This window comes from Homo sapiens, chromosome 6, assembly GCF_000001405.40.
Source record: "Homo sapiens chromosome 6, GRCh38.p14 Primary Assembly".
Lineage (NCBI taxonomy): Eukaryota > Metazoa > Chordata > Mammalia > Primates > Hominidae > Homo > Homo sapiens.
In genome coordinates this window covers 705,769-726,591 of record NC_000006.12, presented here as the reverse complement: position 1 = coordinate 726,591, position 20,823 = coordinate 705,769, and the positions used below count along the sequence as shown (strand labels likewise).

The following is a 20,823-nucleotide window of genomic DNA, read 5'->3' as shown; positions in this document are numbered from 1 at the left end:
GTAGTATTCGGTTTTCTGTTCCTGAATTAGTTTGCGAAGAATAATGACCTCCAGCTCCATCCATGCTCCTGCAAAGCATACGATTTCATTCTTTTTAATGGCTGAATAGTATTCCATGGTGTATATCTACCACTTAAAATGTGGTAGACTGGTCTGCCATTCACGGGCATTTAGGTTGATTCCATGTCTTTGCTATTGTGAATAGTGATGCAATGAACACACACGCATATGTCTTTATGACACAACGATTTGTATTCCTTTGGGTATATATCCAGTAATGAGACTGTTGGGTTAAAAAGTTCCATTTTTAGCTCTTTCAAGAATCCCCACACTGCTTTCCACAATGGCTGAACTAATTTACACTCCCACCAACAATGTATAAGTGTTTCCTTTTCTTTGCAACCTCACCAGCCTCTGTTAGTTTTTTACTTTTTTATAATAGTCATTCTGACTGGTGCGAGATGGTATTTCACCGTGGTTTTGATTTGCATTTCTCTAATGATTAGTGATACTTAGATTTTTTTCATATGCTGGTTGGCCACATGTATGTCTTCTTTCAAAAAGTGTCTGTTGATGTCCTTTGCCCACTTTTTAATGGGGTTGTTTTTTTTTTTCTTGCAAATTTTTTAAGTTCCTTATACACGCTAGATATTAGATCTTTGTCGAATACATAGTTTGCAAAATTTTTCTCCCATTCTTTATGTTTTCTGTTTACTCTGTTGATAGTTTCTTTTGCTGTGCAGAAGCTCTTTAGTTTAATTAGATCCCATTTGTCAATTTTTGCTTTCGTTGTGATTGCTTTTGGCATCTCCGTAATGAAATCTTTGCCAGTTCCTATGTCCTGAATGGTATTGCCTAGGTTGCCCTCAATATAATAAGAGCCATCTATGACAAACCCACAGCCAGTATCATACCGAATGGGCAAAAGCTAGAAGCATTCCCCTTGAAAACTGGCACAAGGCAAGGATGACCTCTCTCACCACTCCTATTCAACACAGTACTGAAAGTCCTGGCCAGCGCAATCAGACAAGAGAAAGAAATAAAGGGCATCCTAATAGGAAGAAAGGAAGTCAAATTACCTCTGTTTGCAGACAACATGATTCTACATCTAGGAAACCCCACCGTCTCAGCCCAAAAGCTCCTTCAGCTAATAAACAACTTCAGCAAAGTTTCAGTATACAAAATCAATGGACAAAAATCAGTAGCATTTCTGTACACCAACAACAGCCAAGCTCAGAGCCAAATCAGGAAGGCAATACCATTCACAACTGCCACAAAAAGAATAAAATACTTAGGAACACAGCCAGCCAGAGAGGTGAAAGACCCCTGCAATGAGAATGCAAAGCACTCTTCAAAGAAATCAGAGATGACACAAACAAATGGAAAAAAAGTCCATCCTCATGGAGAAGAAGATTTAGAGGCTACTGATTAGGAGTTTCAGTGGAAAGTGGGGTCTGAAGCCAAATTGCAGAAGTCTGAGGTGTATGTATGCAGTAAGTAAAGAGACAGCAGATAATGAATCTTCTTTAGAACACAGAGCAATTGTTTTCCTTTTTTTTTTTTCATGGAAGGGAAAGCAAGTGTCTAATATATCATGACAGCCCCATGTTGTTCTCTAAACACTACTATGCATCCTGAATTTTCTTTGAATTTTGCACTCCACTTATTTTACGTTTGGGAGATACTAAATATTGTGTATCCTGGTTTTGCAAACTGAGAAAAGACTTGAGTGCAGGCAGAAAGGTCAGGGAAGAAAGAAAAGGTGTTAGGAGGGCATGGTTGAGCTGGGTTGCCACTATGGGCAACTGGAGCTGGGTCTCACTGAGAGCTTTGGAGGAACCCAGCAGAACACACTTCTGAGGATCATCCCTTGGAAGGGCTGGAAGGTGGGAAATGTATGCTGACGTTCAGTGGGTGCTGACTCCTGCCTCCAAGGACCAAGAGTTGCTCCTAAGGGCATTAACTCCCCTGGCACCTCCACAATGGCTAACTGCTGGCTGAGAAGGTACTTCTGCTCTAGAGAAAGACCGTTGGTAAGCTGAGAGAGTCCATGAGCCCTCGGGAAGGCATGCATGGGGACTGTCCACTATGCTGCAACAGAGGTGGCATAGTGCAGGGCACAGGCAGCATGCCAGTTCCATCTAAAACCTCCAACTTGGCTAATCCTGGAATCCCTGCTCCAGGAGGTGCCATGCTGACTTTGTGCTCTTTCATGTCCCCTGGCACATGGCAGGAAACGCACACACACCTGTTTGAAAAGCATAAACTTAGAAGCTGCATATGTTGGATTCTTTAAAGAAACAGATATCCAAACAGGTGGAAAAAGCCTAGGCCAGGCACAGTGGCTCACGCCTGTAATTCCAGCACTTTGGGAGGCTGAGGCGGGTGGATCACGAGGTCAGGAGATCGAGACCATCCTGGCTAACATGGTGAAGCCCCATCTCTACTGAAAATACAAAAAATTAGCCGGGTGTGGTGGCGGGCGCCTGTAGTCCCAGCTACTCGGGAGGCTGAGGCAGGAGAATGGCATGAACCCAGGAGGCGGAGCTTGCAGTGAGCCAAGATCATGCCAATGCACTCCAGCCTGGGCGACAGAGTGAGACTCCATCTCAAAAAAAAAAAAAAAAAGAAAGAAAAAAGAAAAAGCCTAGACCTTGCAAAAACTGATTCAGTCGAAGCTCAGCTTCCAAAAGTCCAGGCTGAGACAGGGAGGGCCAGGCGGACTTCACTTGGAGATGGAAAGGCAAAATATTGCCTCCAGCAGACATACAACATGGGAGCAGATGATCAGTTCTCCTACTGGTTCCTGCCTGTAATTGCAAAGCCAGGACCAAACCCATGCCTCCGAAAAGTGAATGGAGAAATGAATACTTCCATTGTAGATATCACTGAGACAAATACTTCCTTTGCTAAAAAGCCTAAGTGGTTAATAATTCATACTTTAAACACTGTCATAGTGTTAATACAATAGCACAGGGAAATCAGTGAGAAGTGACTGCATACCCAGTTCCAAACAAACAACTTGACTGTTTCCATACCATCCTCTCTCCATGCCCAGAGGTCCTATTCAGTTGACAGGCATTACACGTTTAACATGGCTCAAAGATCAGTGATGCCCTTGATGAGGGTTATCTTTCCATGTGAAGACTAGCCATGTTCCCTCCCTCAGTCGAAACTGAACTCTGCAGCATCAGGCATGTCCTTTCTTCTTTCTGATGGAACTCATAATGCTCTAAACCCTGTGGGACTCAAAACTTAGCTGTCACGTCAAGAACATCACCTGGAAACTTGTTAGAATACAGATTTTCTTCCACTCCCCAGACTTTATGAATCAGAAACTCTGGGAATAGGGCCCAGAAATCCGTGTTTTTTCGAGCCCTCTAGCAGAGTTGAATGCAATCTAACGTTTGAAACCCACTGCTCTAAATGAGACCCTAAGGAAGGACTCAGCCATGCTACAAAGGCCAGGTACTAGGCAACGGGGCAGGCACGAGAACACATAGGGAAGGCCAAATCCTCATTCTCATGATCTTGCATTCTAGGGAGGGTATTTGTGGGGACATGTAGGAGATGGGCACATATGCTAACTTTCAATAAAAAGTTGAGAAAGGTTGACCTCGGATCCTTGGATAACGCATGAATGTTTCAGGCATCAGATGGTACTAATTTAAGGATCTGGACTGAAAGCATGGAGTCCTTGTGGCTCTGAAAATCCCACAGGACAGTGGCTAAAATTCTAATTGTCAGGATAAGTTCTGTGGTTCTGAACTGACCTGTGGTTTCACAAGAGAAATACCCACAGCTGTAGAGGAAACCACGAAGATCTGGAAACTGCCTGCAGGGGTCAACAGCCGTAATATATTCTACAAACCATCTTAAGGAACCACAGAAAATCATCAAAAGGAAGAAAAATGCATTTCTTGGCTTGGAACTTATTGAATGTTTAAAATCAGGGAATGGACTGGGTAAGAAAGGAAAGACCTCGTGGGCTTTATTTCCATAGAGAAATGGTAGTTGGACTCTATATATTCATTTCCCACTAAGGCTATTTGATAACAGAATACCAAAGAGGAGTTTCTTTCAGAATATATCATTATTGCGTTTTGCATTTTGATTTCATTTTTTCATCTCAAAAGACTTCAGGAACTTATATACCTCTGCAAAAGCTTAACAATATTCATCTTTTTTGTTTAACAGATGTGCTTTTACAAAAGAAATGTTCAAGTAAGGAGAAAACTTCAATCGTCTAACTTTAGCTTTTTGATCATTACCCTTAAATTCGCTGCCTAGGAAACAGCAACAAGTAAGTCATCACTGTTATGAAGCAAAATTGTTTACATTTGGTTTAAGATCCGCCTCCTAAGGAAAGGGCTCCGGCGGCTCCTTTGCGTGCCTGGAGAGGCCTTCGCATGCGCCCTCTAGTGGGTGCTTGGAGCTCATAAGCAAAGGGTCATTTCCAAAGTCTACAGTGGAAATTGACGCTGATTTTCAAATCCAAAAATTGGTCTATCGCTATTCTCCCCAAAAGGGACATTTTTCTTAATCTGCTATAAACATAGTGAAAAGTTGTTACTTCATGGTAAATTATTAGCACGATATTTGAATAGTCATTACATTCATTAAACTATTCTTTAAAATTACAATTATAATGTTAGTACTTGCATTATACATCGTGTTTATATAGTACCATTAAAGTCAAATGGCATTTAATATTCACAGCATAAAAGATAAAAGTATCATATAGTGATATTAGGAGGAAAAATCCTCCTGGTATCATTAGGAGAAAAATTTCTTCTAATGGAAAAAACCTCCATTCCCCAACTTTAGCTTTTTCAGCACCATCACTTGTGCTCCGTGCCTCACCTCACCAGCCGCAGGAGAACCCAGCTCCTTCTGACGGGCCCTGTCTCCTGCACCACCAGTTGGAAGGCTTCATTCCCGGCAGCAGACAAGCAAGGCTTGCTCTAGTTCAGCATAAATAACTCCTTCTTTTACCCCACATCCCTTGGAGATTCCCTACCCCCACTTCTCTACTCTTCTCCACAAAACTTTCCACCTTCTGGCCTCACATTCTCTCTCGAACATGCTCTGGTGAAAGCAGTTTTCATCTTCATGGCTCAGCTAAAATGGCTCTTATCAAAAGCACCAACTACGTTCCTCTGGCCAAATGCAGCGCTCCATCTGGGCCCTTTTCTTACTTCCTAAGTGGTATCTGTGAACGCATTTGCCAATCTCCCTTTCTGTAACATCTAGTACTAACATCATGTGACACATAACAAAATTTTGGTCAATGAGAGACTGCATCTATGATGGTGGGCCCATAAGACAATAAGATACCATATTTTTACTCTACCTTTCCATGTTAAGATACACAAACACCATTGTGTCACAACTGCACATGCTGTGCAGGTTTGTAGCCTAGGAGCAATAGGCTATACTAGAAGTGTCCAATCTTTTGGCTTCCCTGGGCCACACTGGAAGAAGGATTGTCTTGGGTCACACATAAAATACACTAACACTAATGATAGCTGGTGAGCTAAAAAAAAAAAAATTGAAAAAAAATATGTGTTAAGAAAGTTTACAAGTTTGTGTTGGGCTGCATTCAAAGCCATCCTGGGCCACAAGTGGCCTGCAGCCAGCAGGTTGGACAAGCTAGTGCTGTATCAGGTTTGTGCAAGTTCACTCTTTGATGTTCACAAAATGACAAAACCTGTAAATGATGAATTTCTCGGAGTGTGTCCCCATCGTTAAGTAACGCATGACTGCATCGGAAACTTACCCAAGCTAAACTGTAACTCTAAATCGGCACACCCAAACCTGCTTCTCTCAGTCCATGTCACCACCGTCCTCCTGGACACTTAATGCCCCTCTTTCACTCACAAACATATTCCACCTAATAGCAAATCCCAGCAGCTTAACTGCCAAAAGAAACTCTGAGCCTTCCATCCCCTGCCGATTCCTATTGCTGACACCCCAGTGTAGCAGCAACACCTCCACCCTCAGCAGCTAGGACCACCTTAAAATAGAGATAAAATCTTATCATCTCCCAGTTCACAACCCCCCAGAGGCCACCAGTCTAATTAGGATGAAACACACCTCCCATGGCCAACAAGATGCTATATCTAGCGCTTCTCAGTCCACAACACCTGAAATCCCTCTGACCCTGCCTGTAGGCTCCACCCATCTTATCTACTTTGCAAGAGCAGTTTCCTCTACATGGGATGTTATTCCCCTGCATGGCCAGCTACCTCTCATCTTTCATATCCCAGGAGTCCCGTCACTTCCTCTGTCCACTTATCTGACCATGCTACCAGAAGCACCCCTTCCCACCATCCCACTGCCCCTTTCAGAATCTTCATAGCACCCCTTTTCATCCTAAATCATCTCATTAACTTATGCCTATGTTTAAGTGTCTCCACTCACCAGGATAGAAGCTCAACAAAGTCAGAGATATATTTGTGCTCATTCAACATGATTGAGCAAATCAATGAATGAATAAATTCCACTTCTTGTGCGTGGCCAAGTGGCCAGCTCACTGCAGTGGCTGCTGGGGCTCCCTCTTCCCAGCGTGTCTCTGGGTTTACAGCTTGTTTCTGTCTTTCAACACTCCTGTGGTGCTTAGGAACCTGCACCCGTAGTGAGCATCCTCTTCATATTTTCTCCAGTTCTCCAACAGGTGAAGTGCCCTAAAGGGAAGCTCTGACTCCAATTAATCCTATTCCTGGCTCTGGTCCTAAGACAGATGACTTGGAAAGAGTGTAGGGAATGGGTTGATTAGGGCAGACATGAAACCAATATGAAGACTTTTCTAATGGTGCAGGAAGAAGGTAGTGAGTGCCTGAATGAGGGCACCGACAGTGGGGTTGCTGGAGAGGGAAGAGATTAAAGAGATACCATGATTAAAGAGATTAAAGAACATCATTCAAATAGGTATGTGAGGTTAAGTGTATTAGTCAGCTCCAGCTGCTGTGACAAAGTACCAGAGACAGGTTGGCTTAAACAACACGTTTTTGAGTTTCAGAGGCCGCAAGTCAGTGATCGAGATCAAGATCGGCATGCCTGGTTTCTTCTGAGACCTCTCCTTGTCTTGCAGATGGCGCCCCTTGCTGTGTCCTCCCATGGCCCTCATGCCTCTCTCTCTTCTTATAAGGACATCAGTCCTGTTGGATCAAGGCCCTACCCTTCCAATCTCATTTAACCTTGGTTATCTCCTTATAGGTCCCATCTCCACATACAGTCACATACTTCAACATGTGAATGTTGGGAAGACGCAATTAAGTCCATAAAGGAAGGGACAGGTTAAGAAGCATTAGTGGGCCAGGCGCGGTGACTCACGCCTGTAATCCCAGCACTTTGGGAGGCCGAGGTGGGTGGATCACCTGAGGTCAGGAGTTCGAGACCATCCTGGCCAACATGGTGAAACCCCCTCTCTATTAAAAATACAAAAAGTTAGCCGGGCGTAGTGGTGGGTGCCCGTAATCCCAGCTACTCAGGAGGCTGAGACAGGACAATCGCTTGAACCTGGAAGGTGGAGGTTGCAGTGAGCCAAGATCATGCCACTGCACTCCAGCCTGGGCAACAAGAGCAAAACTCTGTCTCAAAAACAAAACAAAAACAAGAAGCATTTGTGAGGATTTCCAAAATTACACGATTTGTCTGATTGCTTTTCATTGCTAGTACAGATGTCTTATTTATTTGCACATTTGTATTAAACACATAGGATCATTTTAGAGGGCAGGAAAACTTTCTATTACCTGGAGATCATCATCTATAGATTGGTTTTAGGACACAGAATCTCTCAATTTCCAACTCACATCCATAAATCCGTTTGTGCCAAATTGTGCACCATTCAGGTGAGTGTGCCAGTGTCACTAGTTTTAAGCAACAGAACCATCATTGCTGACTCTGATTCCTTCCTGAAAGAATAGGAAGGGAACAAGAAAACCATGGGCCTTACAGCAGTGCCAACATGAAAGTGAAGGGTTTGTAAAGCTCAAGCTTGCACGCATCTGGGCGGAGGCACCCTGGCGGCTGCCTTTCTAATACACCATCTGCACTTTCTCACCTGCCTGCTCTCCAGGCCCACTCCGCAAAGGCGTCTGACCTCACACAACACTGAAGCCTCTTGTACAAGTTGCAGCGTCCATGGCTCCAAACTTTACTGGACTTTGTGAGTTGGCCTTGCCTCTTTCTTGAAGCACTGTTTCTCTTAGAAAATGAACACTTAATTTTCTCCAACACTGTCGGCCCTTTCTTTTAACTCCCTTTGCTGACTCTTCCTCCTTTCCCCAAGCTCTCAATGTTTCTGATCTCTTTCAGGAGTCATGCTTTAAAGATCGCATCTCTATTTCTAGTTCCTTTTTCCCTGGGACCTTCAGATTCCTATGTCCAGCTCAACACCTCTGTGTATAAGTCTGATAAACATCTTAAACTGAACACTTCCGAAACAGAATTCCTAAGATTTTCCCCAAAATTCACTCCTCCTCCAGTCTTCTCCATCTCAGTAAATGGCACCAAATTCACCTAATTGCTTAATTCACCAATAATAGTAATTACTAACACATATATTCTTATTGGAGGCCAGATTGTGTTCTAAACACGTGTGTGTGTCCCATGCACACTCACAATCCCCAGTCGAAGGAGATACTATGATCATCCCCATTTTACAGATGGGCACAGACAGGTTAAATACCTTGCCCAAATTTACACAGCTAGTAAGGAGCAAAGACAAGACTTGAACGACGTAGGCTCTTATCATCTCCTAACCCTAGGGTTACGGTTAGTCTTTGCTCGTAAGCACTACTATGCTGTAATAGTTTATCTTTTTTCTCACCCTCCTCACATTCACTCCATCAGCAAGGCCCCCAGTTCTACCTGCAAAGCACAGCTCAAATGCACCTGCTCCTCACATTTGCCTCCACTCCTTTCAGAGCCATCACCATTGCAGGCCTAGGCTAACGCAAACGCCTGCAAATTCTTCTCCATGTTTCAGACTCTTGCAACCCTATAGCCGATCTCTATACACACAAATCATATCATCCTCTCTCCTGCCCATCAAAATCCCACAATTCCATCCAAACTCCTCACTGTGCAGCCCGTGGTATCCGCCCTGACCTGCTTCCTGCGTAGCTCATCGACCTCCACCCCATTGTTCTTGCCCTCTTTTTCTGTGATTGCCTGGAGGACCACTTTGCTCTTCCTGGATCACATTCGTGTATGCCTCAGGGCCTTTGCACTTCCCGGATCACATTCGTGTATGCCTCAGGGCCTTTGCACTTCCCGGATCACATTCGTGTATGCCTCAGGGCCTTTGCACTTGCTGGTCCTTTCCACTTAGAACACTTCCCTTCTCCCCTGAATTCTTACGACTTACTCACTTCATTAGGTCTCTTGCCAAATGTCATCTCCCTCAGTTGTTTCCCATGACCTCCATGTGAAATAGGCCCCCTGCCCTCCGGTCAGCCTTTATCTCCTCCCCTTGCTCTCTGCTTTCTCAGTGAATGCTGCCCCGTCGGGCATTATATTAAATATGCAAGTGCTCATTATCGCTCTCTCCCTCTGGAACGCCTGTGCTACCTCTGGGCAGGGAGGAGTGTTGCCTTGTTTCAGGTTCCTCACTAGAGCCTAGACCTGTGTCAAGCATATAATTAGAACTCAACACATGTGTCTTGAATGAATGAATCTGCTGTTTTTTGGTTTCACGTTTTCTATGTTGGGCTTCCTTTTTGCCTTTGTTTCTAAGGGAAGTGTTTTGTGGGCAGTGGAGGCGCACATTCAAGTGACACGCGCACCAGCTCTCCCCGGCCCAGACTCTGCTCGTTCCAGCGCAGACTGCGAGTGCTGCCTGCCCACCTCCTGGCTTTGTTGGCTCCTAAATAACCTTCCCCGCCTGGCAGATGCCATGCCCCCTTTTGTGTGGTGAGAATCACCTAATGATAATAATTATCATGGCTGTTTTACAACTGGCATAAAAAGAATTCATGCAGATGATGTTGCCTTTGAAAATTATAACAGGATGGACTATTAGAAGCACAACCACAAGAAAATACCCTGGCCAGAACTGGAGAGCCACAAGGTAACAATAGCACACGTGGTGCTTTCCAATACTTCCAACGACTGCTTTGTGTCACCTCCTTTCAGCCATGAGGAGCATGCTCTGAAAGATGCCACCCCCGTGAGCAGCTGGGGCCTGTGACGATGACCGGGAACACGCACTCCCTGCCTCAGCTTTTGGTGGCCATCTCTCATTGAAGGGCTTCGGGGCGTGCGGTTCAGTTTCATAAGCAATCCTGGGTCTGGGTAAACATGCTTGACTGATTAATGATAACAGCTCTTAAAACACCACAGACATTTCCAGTGCCCAGAAATGTTTATTTTTTATACTAAATTAAATTCATTTTCCTTCTCATTCCCTCTAAGGAAAATGGTGACAAATTTAAATTCAGAGTGGACTGCTATATTGAAGATGGCCATGTGCCACAACCTCTAAACAGGCTATGGTTTGGGAATGTATTTCATCAGGAGGATGGTGGGAGGGAGGAGATTTAAGGGCTGGGAAGGAAGGAGGGAAATCCTGGGTAAGCACCGTGCCAGTGAACATTAGCCCTGAGCCGATTGCTTTGCTCACAGAAGGAACGGTAACTATTTTGTATTTAGCAAATACAGTCACGATCAAAGGTAACTGATTGTGTAATAATTTAAAATATCATCAAAAATCAAATAAAAACCAAGTCAATAAAAAATAATTAAGTAATCATCATGAAGAATAATTTGTTACAGCACATAATAAATCCTTATTTATGATGGAAAAAGAAAAGGAAACAAATATTTAAGGTACCTGCTTGTGCCATGCACCACGATGCAGACAAGTAGAAAACATTATCTCCATCAGGCACATTAAAAAACTGCAGCTTAGAGTGGTTAATTTTCCCAAGGCAATAGAGGGCAGAACTAGTATCTAATCAACAGCCCCATTTTCCATCTGTTTATGCATGTCTACACTGCCTCCAATGATGACATCAACAGTAAGTACTTATTTATATGCAGTATCTATTTTATTTCTATAAATCATTCTGGCCATTTTGTGCTAACAAATTAATTACCTCTTTTAAAGAACTATATTAGACTCTATTAGTCATAGCATCCTGACTGATGTGGGTTTTTCCATATCACCATGGCTCAGGTAATTCCCACCAGCTGTAAGGTGTCCAGTGGAGAGATCCTTCCAGAAAAGCATGTCCGTCCACGGACAGCTGTCCCTGGTTTCTGGGGATTATAGCTCAGCCATATGATTCAGAAACATGCATGGACCATAGAATGAGCTGGGGCAGGAAGAGACATTCACATTATTGTGAATATCATTTTAAAACACTGAGCTGAAATAAACAATGGTTTGCAAATCAATTTCAAAGGGCAATTACATATTGCTTCTTCTCATTTTTTTGGTGACTAAATTTTTGTGAATTTAGTCACAAATGGATTTGCAAAGGCACCCATGGTCACAAATAAAACAGGAAGATGCCCAGCACAGCTGTGAACCCTCTTCTAAAGGAAAACATTTGACTCGCTGTTCAGGGTCGGCCATTACACACGTTGGGTGAATCATGATGATGATTTTGATTTTTCTACATATTGAAGAGAGGCACATAATACCTTCACTTCAGAAAATGGGCACATTTTCTACATTTTAAGATTGAGGCAGGCTAGCCATATTTATTGATTTATTCCTCAATAAGCATTTGCTGCATTCCCATTTGTGTCAAGAACTGTGCTCAGCTTCAGGATATCAGTTCAGCAAGACACTCACCCTGCCCTTGAGTAGCTCAGTGTCCAGGATAGAGAACACAGATAAAAGTGGACGAGTTATCCTTATACATGATCAGTGCCTAAATATCAGTAAAATGCTGTAAGCCATCAAAGACTAGGTAGACACGTGTGGTGATCCACAGCAACCTCCTCTCCTTCATAAAACAAAAACAGACAACAAAATACTTGGCCTAACCTAGTAAACATAATTGTATAGTTAGCAATTAAATTCTTTAGGTTAAGCCTCTTTCTGCTGTTAAGAGGAACATGTTCCTGTAAGAAGTAATAAAAACTGCACTACCAACTTTCTGAAACATCCCAGGCCTTTCTGTTCTAATGTCTCCGATCACAATGAGCCTTTACCACAAATGGCTGTTTCCTGCCATCTCTGAATGTCAAATTCTTATTCATTCTTCAAAGTCCAGTAGAAAAGCCACCTCCCCAGATAAGATCTGTGTGCCCTGGGCCTGCTTTCCTGCTTTCTCATAAATACGTTCCCTACTGGCCTATGTCATGGATATGTTTTCTGATTTTTTCTTTAGGAACACGTGGCTCACGTTGAGGCTATCTGAAGTTACCAAAAATACAAAGACAGAAAGCACATCTTCATCCTTTTTTTCTGGAGAGTCTCTCCCACCTGGACAGCTAAGTTGGGGCCCTGAATTTCAAATGAAAGCCTCTCAAGGCGTGGGTAAACCTGGCCACTGCAGGACAGCAGAGTCCCTGGCTTTCCAGGTGTGCCCTTCTCTGTCCATGCCCAGCCTGGGAAAAGACCAGACCGTCCACGGAGCACTGGAGCACACAGTACATGGGCGTCTTCCGTCCATGAACCCAAATCAGGATCCCAGTGCACATGAGGGTCCCGATTAAGGTTAAACTGTACAGAATGGAACAATACCTGCTCTGTTTTGACGACACTGGATGTATCAGTCGGCTGAGGCTGTGTTAGGCTGCAGTTACAAGCAGCTCTAAAATCCCAGACGCTTTCTGAAACACAGGTGGCTCTCATTCCTATTACATGCACCTTAGCTGTGGCTGAAGAAGCAGCCTTTATCCAGATTAATGTGGATGCCCTGGAAGAAAAAAAAAAAAAACAAAGGCAGATAGCTTCTGTCGCGCTACGGCATAGGTCACCTCTGCTCTCATTCCACTCTCAAAGCAAGTCAGGGCCAAGGCTGATGTTAGTGGGATGAGGGTGTGTCATTCCCTCAGTGGGAGAAGCCTGTCAGAGGGGCAGTGAATATTTTAACAGCAATTTCATCTACCACAACATGTGAGAAAGATTTGGATATTGATGCAATCCAGAAAGAGCAGCAGAGAGACCAGCAGATTTCTACGGAGTTTTAGTGGAAATCTGCTCATGTCACTGGCTAGTTCTAGGCCTTAACTTTCTCATCTATGAAATCAGAGGTTTGGTCTGCGTGGTATCAAGGTCCCTTCCATCTCTGACACTGAGCCCAAAGCCTTGCAGGGTGGTGATTTATTTTGGTATTTTATCAAGTGCCAGCATCATTTCTATATTTCTCAGAGACCTCAACAAGTAGGGTGCTTGGAAACATTTGCACATTTGCTGAATAAATCAGTTAAACCCTATGAATAACTTACACTGGTATGAATTCATTAGATAATTCTCTGGAAGCCACTTGGATGGATGGAAGGTGCTAACAAACGCCAAGAGCTGCCGGTATGGTGGTGAAAAGACAGAAGACAAGAAGAGAAGCAGACCGCGGCACCTGAGGGCCAGAGGGGCAGGCTGGAAGGCCACAGCTGCGCATGCTCCGTGGGCCATTCCTCCCAGAGCTGCCCTCCCTGGGAGTGAGAGCAGATGCTACGGCAGTTCACAGTTCTTGATTTTCCTGTGGCTGGAAATTCCTAAACTTACAAAATCTCAAGCCATGTATATTTTGAAACAGTGTGGGGATTCCTCAGGGATCTAGAACTAGAAATACCATTCGACCCAGCCATCCCATTACTGGGTACATACCCAAAGGACTATAAATCATGCTGCTATAAAGACACATGCACACGTATGTTTATTGCGGCACTATTCACAATAGCAAAGACTTGGAACCAACCCAAATGTCCAACAACGATAGACTGGATTAAGAAAATGTGGCACATATACACCATGGAATACTATGCAGCCATAAAAAATGATGAGTTCATGTCCTTTGTAGGGACATGGATGAAATTGGAAATCATCATTCTCAGTAAACTATCGCAAGGACAAAAAACCAAACACCGCATGTTCTCACTCATAGATGGGAATTGAACAATGAGAACACATGGACACAGGAAGGGGAACATCACACTCTGGGGACTGTTGTGGGGTGGGGGGAGGGGGGAGGGATAGCCTTAGGAGATATACCTAATGCTAGATGACGAGTTAATGGGTGCAGCGCACCAGCATGGCACATGTATACATATGTAACTAACCTGCACATTGTGCACATGTACCCTAAAACTTAAAGTATAATAATAATTTAAAAAAAGAAAAAAAAAAGAAACTATTGCAAATGGAAAGAGACTTTTTTTTTCTGTTCCTTGCTTTGTATTGGAAAGCTAGGTAAAGAACACACTCCCAAACCATTAGAATTCAATGACAGGAAATGCTGTAGTATTGCACAAAATGAAATTCCTGATTTTACTGTGAAAAGGAAATGATACCCTTTTCAACCTAACAAAAGAGTTGATTTGCCAAGAAAATGGGCTCAACTGGAAGAAGCTGACTAAGAAGAAATACACAGTCAGTGCTTTTGTTCCCATTCATTCTACCTTTGCAGATAAGAATTTTTAAAAAATCTCTCCTATGATTCCCACAAATACACAGCATTGCTATTTGAAAAATAACAAAGCACAATTTGAGTTTCATATTTGCTGTTTGGCTGGAGTGATGGCTATTCATCTTCTCTTTACCCAGGCCATTGTTCCTGCCCACATAATCACAGCTTGAAGAGCTCGCTTGTGAGTTCCTTCCTTTGCAACTGTGGTCCACACTAGCTACTCAATTAGTTCATTTCTTGGTTGTAAGAATAAATAGAATGTGTACATTTCCTTCTTGTTTACCAATGCAACCTGAAGGGGATCCAAAAATTTGGCCTGGCTTGAGAAGTAAAAAAGGTTTAGGCTCACAACAGATAAAACGTATCCCAAGCCGGGACACCACGGTGCTGCGGAAAAACCCACCCTTGATTTTCCCCTCGTCTTGTCTTCAGTTCAGCATGATGAGCTGGAAAGCTGCAAACGCTGTAGTGATGATCTGAGAAGTGAAACAGAAAGCAAGTGAGGGGAAGCAGGAGTCTGTACACATGTGCCCTGAAGAATCCTTTGCTTTCGTCTTTCCTTTTTCGGCTTTAAGTGCTCCCGTCACACCAGTGATTCGAACATTTCAGAGAAACACAACGGAGGGAAGGAGCCCGGCCCTGCCTTGTCAGCGCCCTGGAAGACCTGGCTTCCTCCCTGACACTCACTCTGGGGAGGGAAGACACCCGTGCGCCTCGCTCCCTCGTGGCCAGTGGCTTCCCCGGTGGGCTAGGGCGTGTCAGCAGGGCGTGCCCACCGAGGGAGCAACAGCGATTCCCAGGCCTAACGCTTTTCAAATCAAAAGCGCCTGACGCTTTTTACAACCGAGCAGAATAGGGCTGTTCCAGGTGGCTGACGCTTCCCGTGGCGGGGAGGGGGTTATGGAGAACGTGGATGAAGCTCATCGTGTAAGACGGGAAATGCCACTGGAAGTGAGCGTCCCTGCACCAGGCCGCGTCCCGCCCAGAGTGAGGCACGGCCGCCCCCTCGCTCAGAACCTGCAGCCCGGCCGGGCTGATGCGGGAAGCCGGCCCCGCCTGTGAGCGCGCAGTTCTCCCTGGAGACGGGCCACCCTCACCCTGTGCCTGCGTCCCCTCCCAGCCCTCGTCCCTGCTCTCTACCCACGACCCGGCCTGGGGTGCCTCGGACGGATCTCCTGCCATTTCCTGCATTCTGCAGGAGCACTCATTGAAAATTTGGGTGGCCTTGCTTATTTATTTTCCTGGAATGCAGTGGGTTCTATTTCCGTGGTATTTTCTCAGCAGTGCAGCGTTTCCATTTCAAACTACAAGAAGAAGAAGAAAAGCCAGTCCCCGTCAGCACGCAAACACACAACAGAAAAAAACGTCCCGGGTTTGACTCGCAGTCCTGCCTTTATAAATTGTAACTAAATATAAGCCACCAGAGTTGCCTGCTTTTGTCATGAGACTAAAAAGACAAGTTTACTTCTTCAGGGAAAAGGGGAAAACACAGTGATGTGCTCAGTTGCTGTGAAAAGCAAAAGACAAATCAGAGGTAATATAAAAAGTTATTTGGTACCATGGAACAATTGATGCCGAGTGTCTAAAATCATCATAAAATGGACTGAATCTAAATTTTGGTCAGATTAATATAAAAAAACTAAAATTAAAAAAGAGCTTGCTTCATCACTGTAGCACTGGGGCTTCACACAAATTTCAAAATGTGCGTGTTACACTAGCATTGTTAGGAATATGAAGGTTGACGGTGAAATATTTTATTTTCTCAAGATGCTATACCACGTCGCTCTAATAATCTACCACCGCTATAAATTTTGTATTGCCTACCATTCACAGAAGGCTCTATTTCAATGGATTCATGTAAAAACACAATTTTGGCAAAAATTAAATTTATATACCTGGCTTAGATAATTTACACCTTAAAACTGACTTTTGATTTCATGTTGGATGTATGCATCTTTAATTTCTAAACTAATGTAGAGAGAATAAATTGTTAAAATCTGATGCATTTTGCATGATACATATTTTTAAAAAGATTTAGAATGGTTGAAAATATGTACACGTTTGGTAGACTTAGTTATCAAAGACGGTTACTTTTATTCAATACCCTGAAAGTGTGTCCATTGAAAGGCAAATACATTTCCATTTTTCTGTCTTTAAAATGAGACTGAACTTAGGTCATTTTCTTAATCTTGAGAGCTACTTTCTCTTGGTTTATATGCATTTCTGCTATTGGTGTAACTGATGAGCATGGTAATTGCACATCAATTTACCTTGAAACGGAAAATGATAAGAACTTTCTGTGGAGCAAAAGGTGGCCATGTCTGTGAGCTGAAAGTAAAAGCTAGAAAAACATTTGATCTCTCATGTGGGCAACTGATTTAAGAAAGAAAAGAAACTTCATCTGTACATATTAATCAAAAAATTAATGGTATAAATTTGCTATTTTTCATTACTTTTTATAAATTGGTGATAGCACTAAACTGTCAATCAAATTTTATCTTTACATTTAACAAAACATGTAAAGGTATCTGACTTCTTGGCTGAAATAACTTATTAATGCCTTACTGTAATTCATAAATAGAATTTTTTCATACATATTTTGCCCTAAAATTAAAGGTGTCAAAGAGGGGAAAAAAATCTGTTTGGACTATGCAAATATTGCTAAGCTGAGCCACTTATTTTGAATATGCCCATGTGAGCTAAATAAGATAATTAGGGTTTTTCACATGATACTGATTCTGCATTTGAAATGCAGAATCATAAGAAATGCTGCACATATAATAATGGCAATACTTTATGTTTTTATAGATCTTCATAGACTATGAAAGTATTTTTACATATGCAATTGAGATTCATAATAATTCTCTGAGGCTCACTTGTTTAAAAAGTATATTAAACTAAATAAGAAAAAGATAAAGGAAAATAAGTTTGTTTATTAAAAATATACACACAGTAATAGAACCGAGTATGAAGAAAAGGAAATGTGCTGCAGTTTAAATAAAGAAGAGACTTAACCTTGGATGGCCCTGCAGAATATTTAATCCAGTACAGAGGAGGGTTCTTACAGCAATTCCACTCTTCTGAGCAGTTTAGAAAACAAGCTAGAAAGCATTCATTCACTTGGTAGATTAAAATATATTTAGCATTTTTTCTTTTCATTTAGCCGTTCTAAAATTAAAAGTTAAATGCAAATCACACTATTCATGGCCATATCATTTTCTTCCTGGTAGTGAACCTCTGGCTCTTTCTGTCTTGTTACATTAAATGATATCTTAAGAAAATAAATGACACCTGGGTTGTTATAGTCCATTTGGCTGCCTGGGCTTTTGTGGGTAAGTCTGAACTGATATGGGGAAAGGCATGTTTTACTATTTGTACAAAGTCTCAAAAAATAAAAATTATACCTCTCTAATATTTTCCACGATCATTTCCACTTTGCTAGGCTTAACAATAAATTTTAGCATGGCTGATGGTTTCCCTTCTGGGGTTGAAAAACTAAAATGTTTTTCAAAGAAATGTACGTCACAGAATAAACAAGAGCAAAATCACTTTTTGTGACTTACCCTTTCCTGGTATGGCAAGAGGCTGCCATTTCCTTTCAACAGAGACGAACGAGGCCAGAGTATGTTTTACAATCTGTGCACAGACTCATTCACAGCTGAATCTAGGCATTGCCCAAAAGCAATTAATTTCTAAAATTTCACAACTATGCCTCACAAAATGCAAAGTCGAGGCGGGAGGATTTATATGACAGAGGGTGGGCCACCACCTGCAGAGCACACCAAGGAGGGACAAGGTTGCTGAATGGTACGCAAAAAAACCCAAAACAAAACAGGAAAGCCTAAGTATGAACTACCTTCTCATCTTTGCTTTCCCTCGAAACTTAACGACTTAGACAGAAAGTTGGAGTCTATGTACAATGTGGGATAACAGAGTTATTGGATCTATGTATCAGCTTTCTCTGTTTGACATTCAACTGTAAACAACAGACAACTCACCTGATTTGGATTAGTTTACCTAAAGCATCAGGCAAAATACACCAGGTTCCTGATTTCTTTTTCTTGGGAAAATACATTGGTTCTTCTGAACACTTTCTCGTGACACACGCAGAAAGAGGCACTATAACTAAGAGAGCAAGGTACCTCTCAGACCACCAGGCCTGCAGATCGTCCAGCGCAAAGACGGTCAACTTACTGCAAGATGGGAGAGAAGATGCCTTGTGGCCAGGAAGCCGAAACCCTCCCAAACACAATTCTCCAGTTACACAATCCACAAATGATCTTAAGAGCTGTTGAAAGCAAAGGACCAGTGAACAATCCTCCTATGATGAGTGGTTCAGCCACAAAAGAGAAATGTGTTAATCAGAGAGAATTTTTTAAAAAATTCGAATGCCACTGTCAGCATTCTTTTCACATAAAATTCTGTCAAAGACCACAATTTACAGAAAAGATCAAAGAGATGTAGAGAAAACAAATATTTAAATTATGATTGATGAGACAGAATGATACAAGGTAGGTTAAAACGAGGCTAAGATACAATGGAATCTAAACATCCTAAAGGCCCGGAGCCCTGCAGCCTCTTCCCCCCAGTTCCTGACACCCACCATTGTGATTTCCAGTGGGACCTGTCCCCAGTTAGCTCACTGCAACTCTTATTAGTAGCTGCTACCTCCAAATTCAGTTTAAGTTTTCAATCTTTTCTTAACAGTGTGTGTGGGTGTGGATGTGGACGTGGATGTGTGCATGTGTGTGGGTATGTGCATGCATCTGTGCGTATGTGCATGTGAGTGTGGACGTGAGGATGTAGGAGTGTTTGCATGTGGACGTGTATGCATGGATGTGTAGGTGTATGCATGGATGTGTACGTGTATGCAGGGCTGTGTGGATGTATGCATGTATGTGGGTGGGTGTGCATGTCTGCATCTGTGTGTACCTGTGAGTGCAGGTGTGTGTACGTGGGGGGTGGTGTGTGCATGTGCACGTGTGCTTGCATACGTGCATGTGTGTATCCATGCATGTGAATGCAGGTGTGTGTATGCAGGGGGTGGGGTATGCATGTGTACATGTGTGGATGTGCTAGAGGACAGTGGTGGGCAGTGACCCACAGCCCTCCCTTAGGCTACCTGCCAGGTGAGGCTTGCCCATGATGAAGTGGGAGGCCCTTTGAGCAGGGAAAAGTGACTGGCAGCTGCAGGAGGCCTGCCTTCATCTGCCACTGCCTTGAGCTTCACCAAGAGTGAAAGCTAAAACGACAAAGTCATGGAAGTTACTTGTTACTGTTTCAGAATAAAAAGACTTCTAGTTTTCCCAGGAAAATTTGTTCTGTTAAAAAATAATATAAAGGTGGGCTAGAAGAAGGGAGGAAGGCATAGAGAAACTTATAATCAGTTTTTTGCCAGTTTTCGTCTCTGTCCACTTCCACTCATTTTTTTTTTTTGATCGGTTAACTAATAGTTCTCACTTGCCTGCTGTCAGTCATTTTTGGATTTGTAAAATTCTTTCTTCTTAATATTGAAGTGTGACTTTCAGGAAATAAAAAGGCACAGGAATAATAATCCTTATAAACTGAAGATGAATTATTCATGCAAAAGGAATTTTTAAATTGACATCAATTTCCTAATTGATGTCTGTCACCACCCTCATCTGCAGACCGAAGTGCTCGCTTCAACCTTGTGGAATGTTCTGGTGGCCATGATGTACTCAGTGCTTCCGGACGTGGGGCATTCCTGGACTGGCCATCAGGATCTCTGTGCATTATGTTTACCATGGCCTGAGGAGAACTTGGGGTGTGTCCGTAACCAAAAAAATAGATGGCAATTTTCACATCTGGGACTCCCATAATTTTTATACACGAAAGAAGGCTTTCATCTCTAAGTGCTCCTCAGCAACTGGAAACTATTTTAAATTATAAATATTAGCAATTTATTAATAATATGCAAAAAGGATGCCAGCATAAGCTCACTGATCAAAATTACTATGTTTTTATATTTAGTTATTTCATATTTAAATAAGCAGATTGCTGAGACTTCGTGGAAGTACTTCACTAAATACTGTTTTTACATCACAAAATGCTTCTACAATGGGAAATATTCTAATTTCTACTTTAAAATGTAAGGGAGCTTAGGTTCATAAAAGTTAAATTGATGTTGCTATTAGTTTGTAAGCTAAGAAAACATGAAATTTCATTGAATAAACTAGAAAGCCTTGATTCCATTAAAAACTAACTGTATTCTATA

At 42.6% G+C, this 20,823-nt stretch overlaps 2 annotated features.

Annotated features, from left to right (window-relative positions):
• Window positions 4,410-4,489: a silencer, noted in NCBI's record as "silent region_16818". NCBI's record gives its function as "represses an Ori minimal core promoter by ATAC-STARR-seq in GM12878 lymphoblastoid cells {active_cell/tissue: GM12878}" and the evidence as "EXISTENCE:reporter gene assay evidence [ECO:0000049][PMID:35858748]".
• Window positions 17,137-17,337: a silencer, noted in NCBI's record as "peak5620 fragment used in MPRA reporter construct". NCBI's record gives its function as "represses an SCP1 promoter by STARR-seq MPRAs in K562 erythroleukemia cells {active_cell/tissue: K562}" and the evidence as "EXISTENCE:reporter gene assay evidence [ECO:0000049][PMID:32103011]".